The 25,745-nt window shown below is 42.2% G+C and overlaps 1 protein-coding gene across 7 annotated transcripts in view, besides 1 other annotated feature; it reads right to left on the bottom strand.

Moving 5' to 3' along the window:
- The window catches only part of SAMD8 (sterile alpha motif domain containing 8), an 82,531-nt gene that overhangs the window by 15,590 nt on the left and 41,196 nt on the right, over positions 1 to 25,745 (bottom strand). For 6 of the 7 annotated variants that reach the window (XM_011539312.4, NM_144660.3, XM_005269541.6 and 3 more), the window contains exons 2-3: positions 15,428 to 16,020; positions 1,794 to 1,889 (exon numbers count right to left, since the gene is read on the bottom strand). In XM_011539312.4, the coding sequence (XP_011537614.1) occupies positions 1,794 to 1,889; positions 15,428 to 16,005 (674 nt within the window). In that variant the 5' untranslated portion in view covers positions 16,006 to 16,020. Of the gene's footprint in view, positions 1 to 1,793; positions 1,890 to 15,427; positions 16,021 to 19,284; positions 19,861 to 25,745 lie in introns of those variants that run through there. The other variant, XM_017015738.3, reaches the window with a different exon arrangement.
- Positions 24,348 to 24,847: an enhancer, noted in NCBI's record as "H3K4me1 hESC enhancer chr10:76901445-76901944 (GRCh37/hg19 assembly coordinates)". NCBI's record gives its function as "activates a minimal SCP1, AML or CMV promoter by ChIP-STARR-seq in primed H9 embryonic stem cells {active_cell/tissue: H9 hESC(primed)}" and the evidence as "EXISTENCE:reporter gene assay evidence [ECO:0000049][PMID:30033119]".

Below are 25,745 nucleotides of genomic sequence, written 5' to 3'. Positions count from 1 at the left end.
TAAAGCTCATCACTGTGGTTTACCTCAAGCACTTCCTGGTGAGGAGAAAGGTCAAAACCTCAAGCAACTACCCTTGTTCCTCTCTCCAGTGTTCCAAAGACAATGGAGAGCAGAAGCTACAATTTTTTTTTTTTTTAAGCAATCTCAAAAGCTCACATATCTACAGTTTTTTAAAAAGCCCCTCAGGAGCTCTTATGCAATATCTACTAATTTTATCTTTAAATTTTTTGTTTACAATGCCTTGTTTTTTACTTAAATCCACTAATTCTTCCTGCCCATTAAACTAGGAAAGGAGCCCCCCAGGCTTCCTTTTTTTAATTAAAAAATTTTTCCTGGCTGACTCTGGGTACACTGCCTGTGAGTTAGCCCTGCTCCACAAGAAGCAGTAAAAGTAAATAAAATGAAAGTAAATAAATTCTTTCGTCTATATTTTTTGGTGAAAGTGCCAAGACACACTTTCCAATTTAGCAACTTCCCATACCATCTGAAGTAAACCACACAGACTATATGTACATGTTGTACAAAATAATCTTTCTTTTTTTTTTTTTTTTTTTTTGGAGACAGGGTCTGGCTCTGTCACCCCACGCTGGAGTGCAGTGGCACAATCACAGCTCACTGCAACCTTGACCTCCTGGGCTCAAGCAATCCTCCCACCTCAGCCTCCTGAGAAGCTGGGACTATAGGCATGTGCCACCACACCTGGTTAATCTTTAAATTTTTTGTAGAGACAGGGTCTCCTCATGTTTCCCAGGCTGGTCTTGAACACCTGGGCTCAAGCAATCCTCCCACCTCAGCCTCCTAAAGTACTGGGGTTACAGGCATGTGCCACTGTGCCTGGCTAATAATCTTTTTTTTTTTTTTTTGAGACAGAGTCTCACTCTGTCGCCCAGGCTGGAGTGCAGTGGCACAATCTCGGCTCACTGCAAGCTCTGCCTCCTGGGTTCATGCCATTCTCCTGCCTCAGCCTCCCAAGTTAGCTGGGACTACAGGCACCCGCCACCATGCCCAGCTAATATTTTGTATTTTTAGTAGAGACAGGGTTTCACCGTGTTAGCCAGGATGGTCTCAATCTCCTGACCTCGTGATCCGCCTGCCTTGCCCTCCCAAAGTGCTGGGATTACAGGCATGAGCCACCGTGCCCGGCCAATAATCTCTTTTTTAATGGGCCTCCTCAAAGCAGAGAAAATTTCTTCCATCTAAACATGTGACCAAAGAATGTCCTTGGAAGAGTTTCTATCCTACAGAAAGTAACTTTTCCAGTTTGTTTCTAAGGAAAGAAAAGGCTTTCTTATCTCAGCTCACCACAATGTCCGACCCTGGGGTCCAAGCGATTCTCCTGCCTCAGCCTCCCAAGTAGCTGGGATTATAGGCATGCGCCACCACGCCCAGTTAATTTTGTATTTTTAGTAGAGACGGGATTTCTCCATGTTGGTCAGGCTGGTCTCGAACTCCTAACCTCAGGTGATCCGCCTGCCTCGGCCTCCCAAAGTGCTGGGATTACAGGCATGAGCCACCGCGCCCAGCCTCTTTTTTTTAGATCAGAGATGAGCACGATCAGCCATAGGGCATCTCTGATCTTTCCGTGCAAAATGCATTCAGGATTATTACTAAATATGTAGATATTATCTTAGGCTGACTCTTACTGATCAAACTCAAAATCCTTTGTTAATAACTATGTCACAATGACCAGAGAAGGAAATTAACAAGGAAACTGCAAAGAGAAAGGTTAAGATTTTATGATCTTGATACAGGAGTCAAAACATTTTCAGTCATTTAATGGAGTAATGAGGTACCTGTGCTTGTGAAGAAGAAGAACCAGGAGCCAAATATAGCACAGAATCATGCCACATACTTCCGTCATGGCAAAGGCCCATGGGATTCTAGGAACGCTGGAACAGAAAAAAATGATTTTGAATTGAAGAAGTATACATGTGAATGATGCCACCCTTTTCAGTAAGGTGCTCTTTTAATAATGACCTTAAAATTGGTTTTATATAACTTATCTCTTACAGAAAATGATATTTGGAGAAACTGGGAGAAAAAATCTGTGTCATAAAGTACCCCCACCTATCGGAACCTGTTTCTTGTCCATTGATTCCCAGTTAGGGTTCTCTGACAGCAAATACCAGAGGAAAAAAAAAAAAAAAGAAGTGGCAACCCTTTTCTCCCATCCTATAGCACAGCAGATCTGGATATAGGACTACCCACAAAGGACAATGGGAGAAAGGCCCATTTCTTGCATGAAGTGCTCTTTTCAGAGTGCAAACAATCAGGGTTTGAACTTGATGCTTTGTTGTTATTGTTGTTGTTGTTTTTGAAACAGGGTCTTGCTCTGTCACCCAGGTTGCAGTACAGTGGTGCCATCACAGCTGACTGCAGCCTAGACAGCCCAGGGCTCAAGTGATCCTCCCACCTCAGCCACCTAAGTGGCCGGGACTACAAGGCCCGTGAAACTATGCCTGGCTAACTTTTTGTATTTTTTGTATGGGGTCTCACTTTGTTGCCCAGGCTGGTCTCAAACTCCTGAGCTCAAGTGATTCTCCCGTCTCAGACTTCCAAAGTGCTGAGATTACAGGTGTGAGCCACAGCGCCTGGCCCCTTGTTTTTGTTTTTTGTTTTACCTCTTTCTCTCTATCCCCCCTTGTTTTGTAACCCTGGTTTTTTTTCTATTTTCAATTTGTCCCTTTTTCCTCCCCACCAAACAGCTCCTATGATTACCCACTAATAAAGGACAGGTCACTTTAAGAAAGAAAAAGGAGAGAGAGGGAGAGAAAAAGAAAGAAAGAGGCTGGGCATGGTGGATCACGCCTGTAATCCCAGTGCTTTGGGAGGCTGAGGTGGGCCAACTACTTAAACTCAGGAGTTCAGGAGACCAGCCTGGGCAACATGGTGAACAACCCCAACTCCCAGGTCTCTACAAAAAATACAAAAATTAGCCAGATGCGGTGCTGCGCGCCTGTAAGTCCCAGCTACTTGGAAGGCTGAGGTGGGAGGATGGCTTGAGCCTGGGAGGCAGAGGTTGCAGTGAGCCGAGGTTTCATCACTGCCTCCAACCTAGGCGACAGAACCAGACCCTGTCTCAAAAAAGAAAAAAAGAAAGAGGGAAGAAAGAAGGAAGGTAGGGAGGAAGGGAGGAAGAAAGGAAGGGGAAGGAGACTGAAACGAACAAAATAGTCCAATAGGTCATCTCTGGGTGCCAGAATTATTGACGTTTCTTTTATTCTTTGTACATTTCTACTAAAAACTTTTCTACAATGACATGTTAATTTTATAACTAGGGAAATAAAGGTATTTAAAAAAAGAAAACATGGCTGGGCACGGTGGCTCACGCCTATAATCCCAGCACTTTGGGAGGCCAAGGCGGGTGGATCACGAGGTCAGGAGTTCAAGACCAGCCTGGCCCACATGGTTAAACCCCGTCTCTACTAAAAATACAAAAAAATTAGCCGGGCATGGTGGCAGGCACATGTAGTCACAGCTACTCGGGAGGCTGAGGCAGAGAACTGCTTGAACCCGGGAGGCGGAGGTTGCAGTGAGCCGAGATCGTTGCCACTGCACTCCAGCCTGGGTGACAGAGCGAGACTCTGTTTCAAAAAAAAAGAAAAAAAGAAAAAAAAATTCCTCTCTTGTACAACTTTTTGTAATTCTCTGGAGCTAATAAATTCTTCTTTTTTTTAGTTTGCTCTGTGTTTCCTGAGTGCTTATTACTAACTCATCCCCAAACTATCAATTTCAATTTTTCCTCCAGGGCAATCTCTCCTAGAGCCTTCTCCCTTTTATTCCAATTTAGAATGGTTGTATTTTCCAATCCTCCTGCATGGTTATTTCCTAGAATAAAATTAACTCTCATCTTGGCAATTCAGTTTTTTTTTTTTTTTTTTTTTGAGACGGAGTTTCACTCGTGTTCCCCAGGCTGGAGTGCAATGGCGCGATCTCGGCTCACCACAACCTCCGCCTCCTGGGTTCAAGCAATTCTCTTGCCTCAGCCTCCCAAGTAGCTGGGATTACAGGCATGCAGCACCAGGCCCGGCTAATTGTGTATTTTTAGTAGAGATGGGGTTTCTCCATGTTGGTCAGGCTGGTCTCGAAATCCTGACCTCAGGTCATCCGCCTGCCTCAGCCTCCCAAAGTGCTGGGATTACAGGCGTGAGCCACGTGCCCAGCCTCACTTTTTTGAAACACAGTCTCGCTTTGTCGCCCAGGCTGGAGTGCAATGATGCAATCTTGGCTCATTGCAACCTCCACCTCCTGAGTTCAAGCAATTCTCGTGCTTCAGTCTCCCGCGTTGCTGGGATTACAGGTGCCCACCACCACGCCCAGCTAATTTTTGTATTTTTAGTAGAGAAAGCGTTTCACAATGTTGGCTAGGCCGGTCTCAAACTGCTGACCTCACGTGATCCACCTGCCTTGGCCTCCAGAAGTGCTAGGATTACAGGTGTGAACCATGGTGGCTGGCCAATCCTGCTGGATTTTATTTTTTATTTATTTATTTTTTTGAGACGGAGTGTTGCTCTGTTGCCCAGGTTGGACTGTAGTGGCGTGATTTTGGCTTACTGCCACTTCTGCCTCCTGGGTTCAAGCAATTCTCCCTGTCTCAGCCTCCCGAGTAGCTGGGATTATAGGCACCTGCCACCACGCCTGGCTAATTTTTGCATTTTTAGTAGAGATGGGGTTTTCCCATGTTGGCCAGGCTGGTCTTGAACTCCTGACCTCAGGTGACCTGGCCACCTCGGCCTCCCAAAGTGCTCCCAAAGCGCTCCCAAAGGATTACAGGTGTAAACCACCACGCCCAGCCCCTGCTGGATTTTAAATCTCTACTTTTTTTTTTTCCCCCAAAAGCTCTTTTTCTCTGAATTTTCTTTGGGCCTCTCATTACTGTCACATAGAATGCAACATCTCTTATTTCTCTTGAAAACACGAAAGTTTTTTTTTAAGTGTTCGTCTGCTCCTTATTTTGTTTTCCAATTTACTTTTTTTTTTCTGTTTGCGCTTATGTTTTTCTCAGACGTCTGGTTTCTTGACTGACCATTCATATTTGACAGTAAAGTACTAAAAAAGATGAGACATTCTGTGGGCATAGACTGAGCTCTGTCAAGCTTTGGGTTTCTCTGCGCACTCAGGGTGCGCAGAGATCTGGTTGATTAGAAAAGGATATCCCAACCAGCTATTTACATTGTTTTTCTTCAGGTTTTCCAAGGAAAGGAATCTTACCCTTCTTGGAAGGCTGGGGTTGGGTAGGAGGGGAGATGAGAAATAAGTCTGGCTACTTAAGGAAGGGAGCTAGAAGTCTCTGTGATTGGTATATAGACTTTTAATGAATCCTCTTTAAAACATGGCAGCTCTGTTCTCATCTGGACACGGTATCCCTAAGTCAACAGTGCTTCATATTCAACTGCTCTGGAGAACAGACCACTAGTCTTCTGTCAGAGTAGAGCAGGTCTAAAAGCTTAAGTAGATTTTTTTTTTGAGACAGGGTCTCACTCTGCGGCCCAGGCTGCAGTACAGTGGCGCAATCGCGGCTAACTGCAACCTCCACCTCCTGGGATCAAGCCATCCTCCCACCTCAGACTCCCCAATACCCGGGACTACAGGCACACTCCACCATGCCTGGCTAATTTTTGTATTTTTTGTAGAGAAAGGGTTTCACCATGTTGCCCAGGCTTAAGAAGATTTTTAACCAACTTTCCCCTATTTAGCTCCTATCTGTACCTGGCCTTGAGTGATGCTTGGTACTTTCTGTTTTATGGGAGCTCTGAAGTACAAATAAACTTACCTCTTGGGCAGGGCCACCTTCCACCCACAACCTCACAACAGGTACTTAGCGTTCTACTTTCCAAACTTTCATTATTAGCACTGTTTTTGCTTTCATGGGATTATACAGTTTCTTCACTCTTTTACTGCCATTTTAGTGGACTGTTGTGAGGAACCTGTCAAATGTGTATTCAATCCCTTATATTATTTTGAGCTAAGCTTTTAAAATGCATTATACATGGATATGTCTTTTTTCTGGATATAATTTAATTTTCTTGGCTGGGCATGGTGGCTCACGCCTGTAATCCCAGCACTTTGGGAGGCCAAGGTGGGCGGATCACAAGGACAGGAGATCGAGATCATCCTGGTTAACACAGTGAAACCCCGTCCCTACTAAAAAATACAAAAAAAAAAAAAAATTAGCCTGGCGTGGTGGCGGGCGCCTGTACTCCCAGCTACTTGGGAGGCTGAGGCAGGAGAATGGCGTGAACCCAGGAGGCGGAGCTTGCAGTGAGCCGAGATCGCGCCACTGCACTCCAGCCTGGGCGACAGAGCAAGACTCTGTCTCAAAAAAAAAAATTTAATTTTCTTTAGTAATTTAGAGTCATCACTATGAACACTGATTATTACACTGTATATGGTAATGACCTTGGAGACTACTGAGAAATGAAGGGCAGTTAAGCCCCAGATTGATGCAGTTTTTCCATTATTTATGTTTGCTTTTTATAGTGTTTTGTTTCCTCCCTTGCTATTATGGTTATCAGCTCTCACTTCTCACTGCTGTAGGTGGGCCTGCTTCTAGAAACATTCCTATCTTCTTCTAATTTTCTGTTTCTATATGCTGAACATATTGGATTTGTGTAAAATAAGCTTCAGAAGCAGACCCTGAAACAAACATCAGTGTGAAAGTCAATTACAGGGAAATGTTCTCAAAGAAAACCCACAGGGTAGTGGGTTATGAGATTAGAAGGCAAGGAAGCAAAGCAAGGGTGAGACATCAAGCAAAGCCCTGTGGAGAACTCAGGAAAGGGTAACTTTCGCTCAGGCTTATGGGTAATTTGGGACAGTGTAGGTCCAATCTAAATGTCGTCCCAATTAGGGCAAAGAGAAATGAGTCACTGGTTAAGAACAGCTGCTGGTGGGAAGTAAATTTCCAAGTATTTTTTGGCTTTCTCTCCAAGTAGGCAAAGAGCAGCCCTCCAACGGAGACGTATCTGCTGGATGTTGGGAGTATCCATGTGCAAGAAAATGGAAAAGGGATCTGAGGGGATATAGAAGGAACACTGACAGCATCTGCTACCATTCTCCTATGAATAAAGTTTAGATGTTTAAGACCATGGAGTTTTAGTGAGTGGCATAGTAAGTAAAAAGAATTAGGCAAAATTTGGTTTGAAATCCTCACTGCAAATTGATAATACATGTCCCGCTGGGTGTGGTGGCTCACACGTGTAATGCTTGCACTTTGTGGGGGCTGAGATGAGCGGATCTCTTGAGGTCAGGAGCTTGAGACCAGCCTGGCCAACATGGTGAAACCCCGTCTCTACTAAAAATACAAAAATTAGCTGGGTGTGGTGGTGTGCACCTGTAATCCCAGCTACTCAGGAGGCTGAGGCATGAGCACCGTTTGACCCAGGAGATGGAGGTTGCGGTGAGTTGAGATTGCACCACTATACTCCAGCCTGGGTAACAGAGTGAGACTCTGTCTCAAAAAAAAAAAAAGAAAAAGAAAAAAAAATTTGTCTACACAAAACTTTGCATATGAATGTTCATAGCAGCATTATTAATAATAGCCAAAAAGTAGAAACAACACAAACACCTATCAACTGATAAATGGATAAACAAAATTGGTACATCCATACAATGGAATATTATTTGGTAATAAGAAAGAAGGTAGTGCTGATACATGCTACAGTACGGATGAATCTTGAAAATATTATGCTGAGTGACACAAAAAGACCCGATATTGTATGGTTCCACTTATACGAAATGTCCAGAATAGACAAATTCATAGAAACAAAGTAGATTAGTGGTTGCTAGGGTCTGGAGAAAGGAAGGAATAGAGTATGACTGCTAATGGGTATGAGTTTCTTCCCAGGATGATGAAAATGTTCTGGAATTAGTGGTGATGGCTCTACAACTTTGTAAATACACTAAAACCCACTGAATTGTATACTTTATTATTATTTTTTTTTTGAGAGAGTCTCGCTCTGTCACCCAGGCTGGAGTGCAGTGGCATGATCTCGGCTCACTGCAACCTCCACCTCCTAGGTTCAAGCAATTCTCCTGCCTCAGCCTCTGGAGTAGCTGGGACTAAAGGAGCATGCCACCACGCCCGGCTAATTTTTATATTTTTAGTAAAGACAGGGTTTCGCCATGTTGGCCAGGCTGGTCTCGAATTCCTGACCTCAGGTGATCCACCTGCCTCGGCCTCCCAAAGTGCTGGGATTACGGGCATGAGCCACCGCACTCAGCCTGTATACTTTAAAATAATAAAAGCCTCATTGTTCTGCTGGACCATTTCCTGCTCTCCCACTATGCTTTGTTTTTTTATTTTTTGCTTGTTTTTTATTATTTTTTCATCTACCTTATATCCTTTACTTCCTTCTTTTTTTCTTTTTTTTTTGAGACAGAGTTTTGCTCTTGTTGCCCAGGCTGGAGTGCAATGGTGTGATCTCAACTCACCACAACTTCCGCCTCTCAGGTTCAAGCAATTCTCCTGCCTCAGCCTCCCGAGTAGCTGGGATTACAGGCATGCACCACCATGCCTGGCTAATTTTGAATTTTTAGTAGAGATGCGGTTTCTCCATGTTGGTCAGGCTGGTCTTGAACTCCCGACCTCAGGTGATCTGCCCGCCTCAGCCTCCCAAAGTGCTGGGATTATAGGCGTGAGACACCGCGCCCGGCCTTACTTCTTTCCTCATCCATATCAGTCCATGGTCCCTCATTAAAACCACTCCCTTGCCACTTTTCCCTTCATTGTACTGCCTAGCAATACTCAACCCTGCTTAAATCCAGTTCTCCACCTATTCCATACCTGTATCTGCTGTTGAATGAGGCTGGTAAAAACACACAATGCTAATATGACTACTAACCTCAAGGAGACCATTAAGTGCTGCTAATGCATTACACAAGTCTATTCACTCTCCTACTCTCCTAGATGGCTTATTTTATACATCTCATCCTTCCTCCTCAAGCCTCCATCCTCCTCTCCATTTTGTCTTTAAACAGAGAAAATAAAAACAATCAGGAGAGCACTTCGTTGTGCTCCACCATCACATATGGCAACCTCCACCTATTTTCCTATTTTCTACCTTCCCCTCTGTTATGAAGGAACAGCCCAAGGGCCTAAGGCCAGCCTCTCCCAGCCACAAGGTACCATTCCTTTTCATCTACTCAAGGGCACTGTTCTAACATTATACCCTCTCTTTCCTCTACCATCATTACCCCCCTACATTGAGTCATTCTTATTATCAATACAACAAACATGCTATCATATAGCATATGTCTCCAATTTCTCTGTTCCTATTCTCTCTCTCTCTCTCTCTCTCCCCCTCATCATTTCTTTGCCTAATTCTTTTAACGTGAAAAATTCTGATCTACAAAAAAAGTTAAAAGAATCAACACTATATTATTCACCTAAACTCATCATTTACAATAATTAACATTTTGCCACATTTGCTTGCTTTCATTCTTTCTATACATACCTACACACATATACACACATACTCTTTTCGGGGAGGTGAACCCCTCCCCGAAGTAAGTTGCAGACATTATGACACTTCTCCCCTTTGTTTCTCTAGGAACAAGGATATCCTCCTCATAACCCAATATACTATTACACCAAGGACATTGTAACACTGATTTAGTACCATTATTTAACATGCAGTCCATATTCCAATTTTCCTAATTGTCCCAAAAATGTCCTGTATAGCATTATTTTTGTTTTCTTGATATAGGATCTAATTAAATTTCACGTGGCTCTTGGTTGTCTCTTCAATTTCCCTTACATTTCCCCCTGGATTTTGCCTGCCATGACACTGACATTTTTAGAGTCCATGTCAGCTGTCTTGTAGAATGTTCCATGTTCTGGATTTGTCTGATTGTTTCTTCGTGATTAGATATAGGTTAAAGTTTTTTTTTTTTTGGACAAGATGATTACATAGGTGATGCTGTGGACATCACGTCCAATGCACATAATGTCTGTTTGTCCCACTGTGATGCTACTACATTTGATCATTTGGTTAAGGTGATGCATGTCAGATCTTGCCATTGTAAAGCTACCTCATTCCCTCTGTAATTAAGTAATAGGTGAGATGAAACTTTCAGATCATGTGAATAAGCTCCCCCTCAGTGGCCTTTCACCTAATAGATTTTATCATCTACTGATGACTTGCCTGAATACACTGGAGGAGGCAGAATAATCATGCTGCCCACATTTATTTGCTCGTATTATTCTTGAAGAGCTTCCCCTCTCACCCCACAATTTTTGTTTGCTTGGTCTCAGCCCTGGTCTAGTTCATTTTCGTGAGGAATGGTATGTATTTATTTGTTTACTTACTTACTTACTGAGACAAACAAAAGGTCTCGCTTTGTTGCCCAGGCTGGAGTGCAGTGGCATGATCACAGCTCACTACAGCCTTGATCTCTTGGGCTCAAGTGATCCTCCTGCTTCAGCCTCTGAAGTAGCTGGGACTGCAGGCATACACCACCGCACCTAGCTAATTTTTAATTTTTTGTAGAGACTGGATCTCACTAGGTTGTCCAGGCTGGGCTAGAATTCCTGGGCTCAAGCAATCCTCCCGCCTGGGTCTCCCAAAATGCTGGGATTACAGGAGTCAGCCACCATACCTGGCCTGGGAACAGTATTTTAAAACCACGATCTGTGTGCTCATAGTGCTATTGTTGCTGAGTTTTTCCTGCAAATCATTTTGTATCAGCTCACAGAAATTGTCTTCATTCTTTTCTATGATTAAATAGTATGCCACTGTATAGATGTATGATAGTCTACTCAACCAGCTTCCCATGGGTAAGCATTTAGATTATTTACAATATTTATAATTATTACAAACAATGTCACAACAAATACTGTTGTGCTCATGTTGTTTCACATTTGTGGAGTACCTTCATGTAAATTCCAATACATCTCACATTCTCTCCTGAACCTATTATAACCCATTTTTGCCCTTATTAACTCTTGTCATAGTCACTGATGACCAACATGTTGCTAAAGCCAATGGTCAATTATCCTCATCTTACTTGACCTTTCAGCAGCATTTGCTACAGCCAATTGTTCCTAAACTTCTTAAAATACTTTTTTTTTTTTTTGCTTGGCTTCTGGCATACTGTTCTCTCTCTCTGCCCATTCCCAAATCTTAGCCTAGATTTCTGTCTCTCTCAATCTCTCTGAACTTCTGCTCATATTTCCATCTCTTCCTTGACATCTGAATTTGCTACAAAACATATTTCAAACCTGACATGTCGAAAACCAAACCCTTAATTTTCCCTCCAAGTCAGCTCCTTCCACAGTTTTCCCATCTCTGTAAATGGCAACTCCATCTTTACAGATGGTCAGGTTAAAAATCTTGGAATAGGCTGGGGGGTGGTAGCTCACACCTACAATCCCAGTGCTTTGGGAGGCAGGGATGGGAGGATCACTTGAGGCCAAAAGTTTGAGACCAGCCTAGGCAACATAGCAAAACCCCATCTCTACAAAAGATTTAAAAATCAGGCAGGTGTGGTGACACACACCTGCAGTCGTAGTGACTCGGGAGGCTAAGGAAGGAGATCACTTGAGCCTAGGAATTTGAGGTTACAGTGATCTATGAATGCACCACTAAACTCCAGCCTGGAGAACAGAGTGAGACCCTGTCTCAAAAAAAACAAAAAACAAAAAACATCTTGGAATAATATTTGATTTCTCTCTCTTAATTCATCAAATCCAAATTCATCAGCAAATTCTGTTAGCTCTAATTTTCTAATTTCAAAATATATATAGAATTTGACTCTTTCATACCACCTCTACCACTGTTCTCATCCAATCTAAAATCTTTGTCTAGATGAATTTAATAAATTCTTAAATGATCTCTAGATCCCCACCCACACCCCAGGGTATTCTCAATACAACAACTAGAATGACCTTTTAAAATAGAAGTTAGATCCCTCAACTCTTGTCCTCAGTACTTTCCAGTGCCTTCCCTTTTCATTTAGAATGAAAGCTGAAGTCCTTACAATGGTCCTCAAGTCCTTACACAACCTGGCTTCTTGTCTCCTCTCAGATCTGCTCATCTCTCACTGGTTGTTCCTTAAACCTGCCAGGAACACTCCCAGTTCAGATTTTTGCACCCAGCTGTTTGCTTTGCCTAAAGTACTATTTTCCCCAGACAGCCACATGATTTCTTCCTTACTTCCTAGTGGTCTTCTGTTTACAGTTGGAAAAACTGTATAGAAGGGGAGACAAGATACACGGATATAACAACTTCTTAAACAGCTTTCAGTAAGTTCTCCTTACTTTGGAGAAATCTGCAATATAAACGGGGTTGGTTCTCAGTTTTCCCCATTGCTCAAATTTTATAATTAGGTTAATTTTGGGTTTGTCAATTGCCACTCATCCATCCATCTTCCAACTTCCAAAAATGTATGGCTGTTTTCTCCTATTTTATCCACTCCATCCTGTGGGCTTACTTAAAAAACAAAAACAAAAAACTCTTTACTACAGCTCACCGGGCATGGTGGCTCACACCTGTAATCCCTATACTTTGGGAGGCCCAGGTGGGTGGATCATTTGAGTCAGGAGTTCGAGACCAGCCTAGCCAACACAGTGAAACCTTGTCTCTACTAAAAATACAACAAAATTAGCTGGGCATGGTGGCACATGTCTGTAATCCCAGCTACTTGGGAGGCTGAGGCAGGAGAATAGCTTGAACCCGGGAGGCAGAGGTTGCAGTGAGCCGAGATTGTGTCACTGCACTCCAGCCTGGACTCTATCTCAAAACAACAAAAACAAAACAAAAAAAAAAACCTCTTTACTATAGTTTTAGTTGGGGTTTGACAGGGAGCAAAATGAGATGTATACATTATTCTGGCATAGGAACACGGACATTTTAAATTCATTTCATTTTCAAATACAAATACTACACGGCAGTTTTATTTTACTTTATGTATTTTTTTTTTTGAGACAGTCTCACTCTGACACCCGGGCTGGAGTGCGATGGCGCGATCTCGGCTCACTGCAACCTCTGCCTCCCAGGTTCAAGCAATTCTCCTGCCTCAGTCTCCTGAGTAGCTGAGATAATTACAGGTGTCCGCCACCACATCCAGCTAGTTTTTGTATTTTTAGTAGAGACGGGGTTTCACCATGTTGGCCAGGCTGGTCTCGAATTCCTGACCTCAGGTGATCCCACCAGCCTCGTCCTCTCGAAGTGCTGGGATCACAGGTATGAGCCCTAATGCCCAGCAAAGGCACTTTTAGAAGGGCAAAATGTTTTATAAAAAACAAACAAGGGGCCAAGCGCAGTGGCTCATGCTTGTAATCCCAGCACTTTGGGAGGCTGAGGTGGGCGGATCATTTGAGGTCAGGAGTTCGAGACCAGCCTGACCAACACTGTGAAACCTCGTCTCTACTAAATATACAAAAATTAGCCGGTCGTGGTGGTGGGTGCCTGTAATCCCAGTTACTCGGAAGGCTGAGGCAGGAGAATCACTTGAACCCAGGAGGCGGAGGTTGCAGTGAGCTGAGATCGTGCCATTGTACTGCAGCCTGGGTGACAGAGCAAGACTCCATCTAAAAAACAAAAACAAAACCAAAAACTAACAAACAAGAAAGTAATACCCAAATTTTTAAAAGATTTAAAAATCAAAAATGTGAAAACAGTTCTGAGTACTTGTTTACTGTTTTATTATTATTATTGTTGTTGGAGACAGGCAGGGTCTCGCTGTGCTGCCCAGGCTGGAGTGCAGTGGTGTAACTATAGCTCACTGTAACCTCAACCTGTTAGGCTCAAGTGATCCTCCCACCTTGGCCTCCTGAGTAGTTAGGACTACAGGCATGTGCCATCATGCTTGGCTAATTTTTAATTTTTTGGAGAGATGGGGGTCTTGCTATGTTGCAAGTCTTGAACTTGTAGGCTAGTCTTGAACTCCTGGACTCAAGCAATCCTCCCACCTGGGCCTCCCAAAGTGCTGGGATTATAGGCATGAGCCACCATGCCTGGCCTACTGTTCTATTCTTATTTTTCTTTTTTTTTTTTCTTTTTTTTTTTTTTGAGACGGAGTCTCGCTCTGTCGCCTAGGCTGGAGTGCAGTGGCGGGATCTCGGCTCACTGCAAGCTCCGCCTCCCGGGTTCACGCCATTCTCCTGCCTCAGCCTCCCAAGTAGCTGGGACTACAGGCGCCCGCCACTATGCCCGGCTAATTTTTTGTATTTTTAGTAGAGACGGGGTTTCACCGTTTTAGCCGGGATGGTCTCGATCTCCTGACCTCGTGATCCGCCCGCCTCGGCCTCCCAAAGTGCTGGGATTACAGGCGTGAGCCACCGCGCCCGGCCCTATTCTTATTTTTCATATGTTACACATATACTACATTTTTTTATGTATTCAATATTTAATAAAACAGCATGCTATCACTGAATCCACTTGTCCTCTTTGTGATAGTTCCAATTCATTTGGTGATATGACACCATCAATATTTTTGAAAAAGCAGAACCCTATTCTTCATTTAAAAAAAAATAAAAAAAGGCAGCCAAGTTCCATTTATTACAAACATCATTCCAGATACCCTCTTAAAATCTAAAGTACCTGGCCAAGCGCGGTGGCTCACACCTGTAATCCCAGCCCTTTGGGAGGCCGAGGTAGGCGGACTGCCTGAAGTCAGGAGTTCAAGACCAGTCTGGCCAATATGGTGAAGCCCCATCTCTACTAAAAATACAAAAAAAGTAGCTGGGCCTGGTGGCGGGCTCCTGTAATCCCAGCTACTCAGGAGGCTGAGGCAGGGGAATGGCTTGAACCAGGGAGGTGGAGGTTGCAGTGAGCCAAGATCATGCCACTGCACTCCAGCCTGGGTGACAGAGCGAGACTCTGTCTCAAAAAATCTAAAGTACCCAAGGAGCTATAACTACACAAAAATAAATTAAGCAGTCCAGGCCATGATGGCTCATGCCTGTAATCCCAACACTTTAAGAGGCCAAGGTGGGAGGATCGTTTCAGCCTAGGAGTTCACCCAGCCTGGGCAACACGGTGGGACTCTATTTCTACAAAAAACTTAAAAATTAGCTGGGCATGGTGGAACATGTCTACAGTCCCAGTTTCCTGGGAGGCTGAGGTGGGAGGATTGCTTGAGCCCGGGAGGTTGAGACTGCAGTGAGCCATGGTCATGCCACTGCATTCCAGCCTGGGTGACAGTGCAGTGTGAGACTGTCTCAAAATAAAAAATTAAATTAAAATTAAAATTAAATTAAATTGAAAAATTAAAAGAGCAGTGGTTTTTCTCACACACCTAGGCTTAAGGCCTAATTTACTCTAAGTGAAAAAGGTAATTTCAAAGCATTTTATACCGCCAGATAAAGCAAATGGAAAGTATACATCTACCACAATAAGAAACAATATAATTATCATAAATATAGTATCATTGCTGTTAATTATAGCAACATCCTACAAACTTAGCAACTAGAAACAAAACTTACCTGTCTAAGAATATATCTGGGAGTGGTGGATAGGTCTGCATGTCAGGCACTCGCTCATGGACTATAACCATAATGAAAGATGTAAATCCAAATACTATAAAAACATATATACAACTCAGTATAGTCTTCCAGTATTCTGGGTCCAATCTTCGAACAGAATGTTTGTTTTTACCATTCATGTACTGGTACTGATCAGAATTCAAGTCAGTTATGGGTCCGTCACAGTCATGGGAAAGCTCCCCATTACAGAGCCAGTCTGTACTCTGAAGAGCACTGATGAAAGGGGTCATGGAACCCATGGGACTGTCACTGTTGTAGCCCATCTCTTCTAAAACATCAATATGTATTTTCTGCAATTTTCGGACTGAGAGCATTAACCTTTTAATGTCCCCTAAGACTTTGATTTCCAGAGGAGGAGACCGGAGATCATATTCAGTCAATGTTAGCAATGTGATTCCATCAAGTCGGTGCTTATTGCATAAAATGTCCACATATTCAAAAAAGCCTTCATCCTTCAGCCACACAGCTACATGCTTGGTAGTCCAGCGGCGAATGCAGAGTTGATTAGGACCTGCCATTTCCTCCTCCGCTGCCTGTAGAGAGAAAACAGGAAAACAAAACAAAAGCTTCAGTATGTCCTAACAATTTCTTCAAAGACAAACACACATAAATACACCAGAAACAGGCCAGGCGCAGTGGCTCATGCCTACAATCCCCAGCACTTTGGGAGGCTGAGTTGGGAGGATCACTTAAGCCCAGGAGTTCGAGACCAGTCCTGGGCCACGTAGCAAGATCCTATCTCTACCAAAAAAAAAAAAAAAAAAAAATTTTAGCCTGGGCATGGTGGGACACCTATAGTCTCAGCTACCTGGCAGGCTGAGGTGGGAGGATCACCTGAGTCTGGGAGGTCAAAGCTGCAGTGCGCCATGGTTGTGCCACTGCACTCCAGCCTGGGCAACAGAGGGAGATCGTCTCAAAGAAAAAAAAACAAAAAACTATATATATATATATGTAGAGAGAGAGAGAGAGATGTACACACACACACACGCACACATATGTATATACACACACGCACCCCAGAAACAGTAATTTACCTACACTATCCTATTGGTTTCTAGAGTAAAAGAAACAAAAATTATTCAATAATGAATGGTTTTCAATAGATTAACACACTAATAATTTTATGCATATGACTCCAACAGCAGAAGAAAATTTAATAACCAAACATTTTTACAGAACGACATTTTACAAATGGCTTTTCCACTGCATGAGTCACAATTTAATTAAAAAGCCTACTCGAGAACTGAGAAAAATCCCATTTTAATACTTTTCATAAAATCAAGAAATATAGGAAGATTTATTATATTTTTAAAAATCAAAGAAAAGAGAAAAAAATCCGATTTCTGAAATCTCCATGTTCATGGAAAACGTATCTCCCCACCTGGGGGGAAATAAACATAAAGGAAAGTAGATAACTGTAATTCCAGGGAACCCTTTAGATTAAGCGTATTTCTAACTACTGCACACATAATGATTTCTATAACAGATATGAAGCCTTTAAACTAGACATATATTTGAATCTCAATAATAACTCAGTTCTTTCTACAGCTTTGAATATTACATTATAGAACTGAATAGGGCATTTTATTCTTAAACTATCACGGACTTTAGCAATAAAATTTTTAAAAGAAAACTGTCATTTCCATGTACTCACAAATTTGATGACCCAGACTTTATACTGCAGAATAAAAGGCCAATAAGGTGCTATGTTTTAAAAAGTACCAATAATTTTTACTACTTTGATTTCACACAGCTCTATTTATGTTCTTCTTTTATTGTAAAACATTCAGTTACTTGGGCCTTCTCAGGTTTATAAAGTATATCAGATACATAGGAGACAAAGGCCTACATGGAAAAAAACACTATTTCTCAAAAGTACTTTCTCAACTATTAAAGCCTGTAGGTTTTCTGACACTTTCCAGACCTCTGAAGATTGTATTTCCACCTGAGATAATTTTTTAAAAATGGTAGGCAAACTTCAAAGCATAAAAGAATAAAATGATACAACGAACACCTATGTGCCTATTACCCAGCTTGAAAAAAAGAAAAACTGTTCTAATACAAATGTTCTTTTTTAAAAATCTGCATATTAGTTACATGAGTTTGTTCCTTTTGTGAAAATTCATCAAGCTGTATAATTGTGATCTATACTTTTCTCTATATATGTTAGATTAAACTTTATTTTCAAAGTCTTGAAAAACCAAACAAAACATCAATACAAATGAATATCCTTCTATCCTGAAGGACAAATGAATGAGGACAGCATCCTCTTCCTTTTCCCACAATGTAATAATTCTTGATTTGAGTGTTTATCATGGCCTTATAAATGCATTGTTGGCTATGAAAAACTTTCTGTGCTTCCTTACAACAAGCAAAGTTAAAAGCTGGTACTGCGGCCGGGCGCGGTGGCTCACGCCTGTAATCCCAGCACTTTGGGAGGCCGAGGCGGGTGGATCACAAGGTCAGGAGATCAAGACCATCCTGGCTAACAAGGTGAAACCCCATCTCTACTAAAAATACAAAAAATTAGCCGGGCATGGCAGCGTGCGCCTGTAGTCCCAGCTACTTGGGAGGCTGAGGCAGGAGGATGGCGTGAACCTGGGAGGCAGAGCTTGCAGTGAGCCGAGATTGTGCCATTGCACACCAGCCTGGGCGACAGAGCAAGACTCTGTCTCAAAAAAAAAAAAAAAAAAAAAAAAAGCTGGTATTGCTCTGCATTCTTTCCCTACCCACATAAACTCCTGCCACGAAGACTTACAGTAACTTGGCAAAGGCAGACACTAACTACATGAGCACCATTTATATCATCAAAACTATTTAGAAAACAAGAAATAAGCTTGATAAAATCCACCCACAGATGAATGTCAGGGAAGTGTCAGTTAAACATTAAGTATTTATTTCTTTATTACTAAAAGCAATCGTAATTTTTGGAAGACTTAAGTCATATTTTGTTTCACAAAAGAACTTATATTATTGACCCACATAGTTTCCCTGTCTTTGAAAATTATTATAACATCCATTTACAAGGAGTCTGTATTTTTTACAAAGTTGTCTAATTCTTATGCATTATGGAATAACAAAAACTCTTAACTCTTTTTAGCTGTAGCATATCATCACCACCTCAAATGTCAAAGAATTATGATTTATTCACTTTAACACATGGAACTTATACATTTATTATATTATTTTATATCATTTATTATATCATATATACAATTCCATTAGAAATATGATTTTGCTGTTTTAGTTCACATGGATAACTAGATGCTTTCACCCTACCTACTATACATATCTTCTTTTACCCAAAGTATCTCTGACTAAATTACTTCATCCTTGGATATCCAACAAGCACATGCTATAATCTCTGTAGTGGTTATGATATAGCAAATCTGAGAGACAAGTTTCCTTCACATAAAACAAAGCCAGCCGGGCATGGTGGCTCACGCCTATCCCAGCACTTTGGGAGGCTGAGACGGGTGGATCACGAGGTCATGAGTTCAAGACCAACCTGGCCAAGATGGTGAAACCCCGTCTCTACTAAAAATGCAAAAAAATTAGCCAGGCATGGTGGCGGGCGCCTGTAATCTCAGCTACTAGGGAGGTTGAGGCAGAGAACCGCTTGAACCTGGCAGGCAAAGGTTGCAGTTAGTAGAGATCACACCACGGCACTCCAGCCTGGGCAACACAGTAAGACTCCGTCTCAAAAATAAAAAAAAATAAATAAAAAATACAAGGCCAGATTTCTTCAGTCACATTATTTCTAGTCTGTTAACATTCCCCTTTCTCTAACAGCTTACCACCAATGGGTTCCATGTCACTCCCATTCTTGTAGCATTATTCGTTAGGACAGTTTCCTCTCATACTCTGTTCAAAATGATTCTTCTCTTCTTTTATATGTTTTTTTCCACTGTCTTAGCTCACCAGTTCTTTACAACCTCAATCAGGCTAATAGGCTTTGATGCTGACGTTTTAGCTGCTAGAAAATATAAGTTATACGTGGAAGTCTCTTGGAAGTCTTTGAGCCTGCTGTGGGAATGCCCTAAAAGCATGACACATTTCACTGTTCTGCTTTATCAGGTCAGTGCATGCCCTTTAATTGTATGCTACTATATAATAGTTAAGAGGCCCATACTAAATCACTACTTAGCTAACCCTGTGAAAGCCTGCATGAAAGAGGTATATTAAAAGATGATAAAAAGCTTTAGGGCCAATTTAATATTTATGTTGTACCAAAGGAATTACAGGGAACAGGAGACTTTGAATGATAAATACAAATTGATAAAATAAGGAAATTAGATTAGTAAATGTTTAAGAATTCAGCTTTTATCAATAATTAATACAAATAAATGATCTGTTAAAGGACATGTGCTTCTGACCAAGATTTACTAACAAGAACCAGATTTATCCTCTGACCTGAAACAACCAAAAAACAAACAAAATATATGGGGAAAAAAAAGTTTCAGCCAGGTGCGGTGGCTCACGCCTGTAATCCTAGCACTTAGGGAGGCTGAGGTGGGCGGATCACCTGAGGTTGGGAGTTTGAGAACAGCCTGACCAACATGCAGAAACCCTGTCTCTACCAAAAATACAAAAAATTAGCCAGGTGTGGTGGCAGATGCCTGTAATCCCAGCTACTTGGGAGGCTGAGGCAGAAGAATGGCTTGAACCCGGGAGGCGGAGGTTGCGGTGAGTTGAGATCGTGCCATTGCACTCCAGCCTGGGCAACAAGAGCGAAACTCTGTCTCCAAAAAAAAAAAAAAAAAAAAAAAAAAAAGTGTCAAGACACTGGACATCAGGAAAATCCCTGAGAGCCAGGAAACAAATAAGGTGAACCCTACTGCCCCAGGTTACGGCCTTGAGTTTCCCAGCCACAAGAGGCACAGGATGGGAAACTCATGTGAGGCCTGGCAGGCTCACTGAGTTGAAGAGATGGAGCTGAGAGTTTGGGGCAATCAAGATGGCTAGTGTTTATGGGGCACAATACTGGAGACGAGATACACAGACAAGAACTCCAGAGATCTGCGGGTCTCTCTTGAATATTTAGCTGAATGCCTATCAGCACATGTATGTAAGGAAACTAACCAAGACCAAGGAAAGACCACCCAATTGAATTCCCAGCACTCACATGAGGCCAAGAAAAGTACCTATTCCAAAGAGCCAGATTGAAAAAAGGTCTCATGAACAGCTTTGGGTAGAGTACACAGAAAGATCTTGCCATAGTAGTAAGGCAAAACTAACCCTAAGGCAGCAACTCTCAACTGCGGGCAATCCTCCCCACTTCCTGGAACATTTGGCAATGTCTGAAGACATTTTTGGTTGTTACAACTTTGGGGGGGAATGATGTTAAACATTCTATAATGCACAGGACTATCCCCTCCCCCAACAAAGAATTATTTGGCCCCAAATGCCATGGTGCTGCTATTGAGAAACCCTACCCTTGACTAAACATGTCTCTGGGTTCATCCTAACAAATCTTAAAAGGAAGACTCAAAAGGATCAAACTCTGTTCAAGTAGTTGAACAGCATCCCACAAAAAGCTCAAGAATATTAATAGAAATACCAAAGTATCTAGAGCCCAACAATGAATTCATAATGTCCAACAACTAATTCATAATGTCTGGAATCTATTCAAAGATTGTCAGGCATGCAAAGAAGCAGGAAAGTATCACTTATAATGAGGAGAAGAATCAATCAATCAAGAACTGACACATTTAATAAAATTAGCAGATAAGGAAATTAACTCAGTTATGATAATTGTGTATTACATTTGTCCAAAAAGTTAAATGAAGAAATAGACACATAATGGCCAGGTGGTGGCTCACGCCTGTAATCCCTGCACTTTGGGAGGCAAGGCAGGAGGATCCCTTGCGGCCAGGAGTTCAAGGTCAGCCTGAGCAACAAAGGGAGATGTCCCCTGCCCCTGCACCATCTCAACAAAAAAGGAAATAGATAAGTAAAAAAAGACTAACGCAACTCCAAGTTCTAGAGATAAAATGAAATAATCTGAGATGAAAAATACCCTGGATGGGACTAACAGCTGCTGAGCCACTGCAGAAGGTAAGAGCAATAAATGTAACTAAGTAACAATAGAAACAATTCAAGGGCGCTGGTTGCAATCCCAACACTTTGGGAGGCTGAGGTGGGAGGATTGCTTAAGCCTATGAGTTCAAGACCTGCCTGGGCAACATAGTGAGACCTCGTCTCTATAAATAATTTTTTAAAATTAGCCAGACATGGTTGCCCATGCTTGTAGTCCCAGCTACTCAGAGGCTCAGGCAAGAAGGTCACCTAAGCCCAGGAGTTCAAGGCTGCAGTGGACTGAGATCGCGCCACTGCACTCCAGCCTGGGCAACAGAGCAAGAGCCTGTCTCAAAAAAACAATGAAAAGAAAAGAAACTTTTCAAAATAAAACACAGAAAAAAAAGAGAACTTTAAAAAAGAGACTATTATTCAGCCTTAAAAAGGAAGGAAGTTCTGACGCATGCTACAACATGGATGAGCCTTAAAGACATTATACTAAGTGAAATAAGCCAGTCACAAAAGGACAAATACTGTATGATTCCACTTATACGAGGTAACTAGAGTAGTGAAATTCACAGAAACAGAAAGTAGAATGGTGGCTGTCAGGGACTGGGAGCAGGGAGAATGAGTCATTTTTTAATAGGTACAGAATTTCAGTTTGGGAAGATTTTTTAAAAGTTCTAAAGATGGATGGTGATAATGGTTGCACAACACAGTAAATGTACTTAATGCCACTGAACTATATAAAAAAATCATTTCAGCCGGGAGCAGTGGCTCACGCCTGTAATCCCAGCACTTTGGGAGGCCGAGGTAGGCGGTCACGAGGTCAAGAGATGGAGACCATCCTGGCTAACACTGTGAAAACCCCATCTCCACTAAAAATAGAAAAAAAGAGCCTGGCATGGTGGCGGGTGCCTGTAATCCCAGCTACTCTGGAGGCTGAGGCAGGAGAATCACTTGAACCCGGGAGGCAGAGGTTGCAGTGAGCCGAGATCGTGCCACTGCACTTCAGCCTGGGTGACAGAGCAAGACTCCAACTCCAAAAAAAAAAAAAAAAAAGTTTAAATTATAAATTTGGTTGTATATATTTTACCACACACACAAACACACCAAAGAAAGAACATCAGTGAGAGGTGGAACAACATCAAACAGCTTCCAAAAGACAAGAGAGAACAGAAAAAATATTTGAAGTAACAATGGCCAAAAATTTTCCAAATTTGGTGAAAACCATAAACATGTGTATCCAAGAAGCTTAACAAACTCCAAAAATAAGAAACAAGAAGAAAGCTATACCAAGGCATACCAAAATCAAATTACTTAAAAACAGTGACAATGAGAAAATCTTAAAAGCAAAAAGAGAAAACAGACACATTAGGAACAAAGGTAAGAATGATAAGAGATTTCTTACTGGGCTCAAGCCAAGCTAGAATACAGTGAAACAACATAAAGTACTGAAAGAAAAAAAAAACAACAACCTAAAACCGTAGGCCCAGTGAAATATCATTCACAAGCAAAGGCAAATACTTGTTCAGACACACAAAAGCTGATTTCATCACCAGCAGACATGCACTACAAAAATTTAAGGTCCTTCAAGCAGAAAGAAAATGTTACCATACCAAAATATGAATCTACACAAAGAAATGAACACCAAAATGGTAGCCACATGCATAAATATATACATTTTTTCTTACTATTTAAGTTAGTTAGTTTATTTATTTATGAGACAGAGTCTCACTCTATCACCCAGCCTGGAGTGCAGTGGCATGACCTAGGCTCACTGCAACCTCTGCCTCTGGGTTCAAGAGATTCTCCTGCCTCAGCCTCCCCAGTAGCTGGGATTATGGGCCCGTGCCACTGCACCAGGCTAATTTTTGTATTTTTAGTAAAGACGAGATTTCACCATGTTGGCCAGGCTGGTCTTGATCTCCTGACCTTGTGATCCACCCGCCTCGGCCTCCCAAAGTGCTGGGATTACAGGCGTGAGCCACCGCGCCCAGCCGCAGTACCAGCTTTTAACTTTGCTTGTTGTAAGGAAGCACAGAAAGTTTTTAATAGCCAACAATGCACTTATAAGGCCATGATAAACACTCAAATCAAGAATTATTACATTGTGGGAAAAGGAAGAGGATGCTGTCCTCATTCATTTGTCCTTCAGGATAGAAGGATATTCATTTGTATTGATGTTTTGTTTGGTTTTTCAAGACTCCTGACCTCAGGTAATCTGCCTGCCTCGGCCTCCCAAAGTGATGGGAGGCACTGCACCCGGCCTTAAGTTTCTTTAAAAGATAATTTAGGCCGGGTGGTGGCTCATGCCTGTAATCCCAGCACTTTGGGAGGCCGAGGCGGGCGGATCACATGGTCAAGAGATCGAGACCATCCTGGCCAACATGGTGAAACCCCGTCTCTACTAAAAATACAAAAATTAGCTGGGCGTGGTGGCACGCGCCTATAGTCCCAGCTACTCAGGAGGCTGAGGCAGAAGAATCGCTTGAACCTGGGAAGCGGAGGTTGCAGTGAGCCAAGATCGTGCCACTGCACTCCAGCCTGGTGGCAGAACAAGACTTCGTCTCAAAAAAAAGATAATTTACTGTTTAAACAAAAAGCAATGTACTGTGGGATTTATAACATATGTAAAACATATGTTAACAATAGCACAAAGGTTGGGAGAAATGGAAATCCACTAATATCAGCTAAAATAATACCACCAAGAAGCTAAAGAGAAAATTAAACCCAAAGCAGAAGGAAATAATAATGATGAGGGCAGAAATCAATAACAAAGGCTGGGCATGTTGGCTCATGCCTGTAATCCCAGCACTTTGGGAAGCTGAGACAGGCGGATCACCTCAGGTCAGGAGTTTAAGACCAGCCTGGCTAACATGGTGAAACCCCATCTCTACTAAAAATACAAAAATTAGCCAGGCATGGTGGTGGGTGCCTGCAATCCCAGGTACTCAGAAGGCTGAGGCAGGAGAATTGCTTGAACCCAGAAGGTGGAGGCTGCAGTGAGCCACCTGGGCAACAGAGTGAGACTCTTTCTCAAAAACAAAAATAAAAATAAAATTTTTTTAAAAAGCAAGTGTAAGGAAAAAAAAAAGATGCAAGGCAAGACCGTCACTCTCACCACTTCTACAAAACATCAGAAGTTCTGGTCAGTGTAATAAGATAAAAAAAAGAAGCAAAAGGCAGGCCAGGCGTGGTGGCTCACGCCTGTAATCCCAGCACTTTGGGAGGCTGAGGCAGGTGGATCATGAGGTCAGGAGATCGAGACCATCCTGGCTAACACGGTGAAACCCTGTCTCTAATAAAAATACAAAAAATTAGCCGGGCATGGTGGCAGGCACCTGTAGTCCCAGCTACTCGGGAGGCTGAGGCAGGAGAATGGCGTGAACCCGGGAGACGGAGCTTGCAGTGAGCGGAGATCGCACCACTGAACTCCAGCCTGGGAGACAGAGTGAGACTCCATCTCGAGGAAAAAAAAAAAAAAAAAGTAAAAGGCATACAGATTAAAAAGGAAGAAATAAAACTCTATTTGCTGACAACTTGATTATTTATGTTGAAAATTCAATAGACTATACCAAAAACAGTTACTAGAATAAGTCAGTTTAGCAAGATTGCCACATATAGTATCGACAAACAAAAATCAATTGTCTTCCTTTCTTTTTTTTTTTTTTTGAGACAGGGTGTCACTCTGTCACCCAGGTTGGAGTGCAGTGGCACGATCTCGGCTCACTGCAACCTCCACCTCCCAGGCTCAAGCCATTCTCCCACTTCAGCCTTCCAAGTAGCTGGGACCACAGGTGCATGCGCACCACACTTGGCACACTTGGCTAATTTTTAATATTTTTGGTAGAAACAGGGTTTTGCTATGTTGCCCAGACCCATCTCGAACTCCTGAGCTCAGGAGATTCACCTGCCTCAGCCTCCCAAAGTGTGGGATTACAGGCGTGAGCTATCACACCCAGCCATCAATTGTATTTCCATATACTAGCAACAAACAATCAAAAATTAAAATGTATAAAATACCATTTATAATAGCATAAAAAATATTAAATACTCAGGGATAAATCTGACAAAACATGGGCAAGACCTATATGCTGAAAACAACAAAAAACACTGCTAAGACGAACACCTAAAAATGAGAAATGAGTAGGTCAGAAGAATCAATACTGTTAAGAGGACAATTTTCCCCAAACTTATCTGCACATTCAACCCAATTCCAATCAAAATCCCAACGGGC

Source organism: Homo sapiens, chromosome 10 (genome assembly GCF_000001405.40).
Source record: "Homo sapiens chromosome 10, GRCh38.p14 Primary Assembly".
Lineage (NCBI taxonomy): Eukaryota > Metazoa > Chordata > Mammalia > Primates > Hominidae > Homo > Homo sapiens.
Note: the sequence above shows the minus strand (reverse complement) of the source record. Positions and strands in the feature narration are given on the sequence as shown.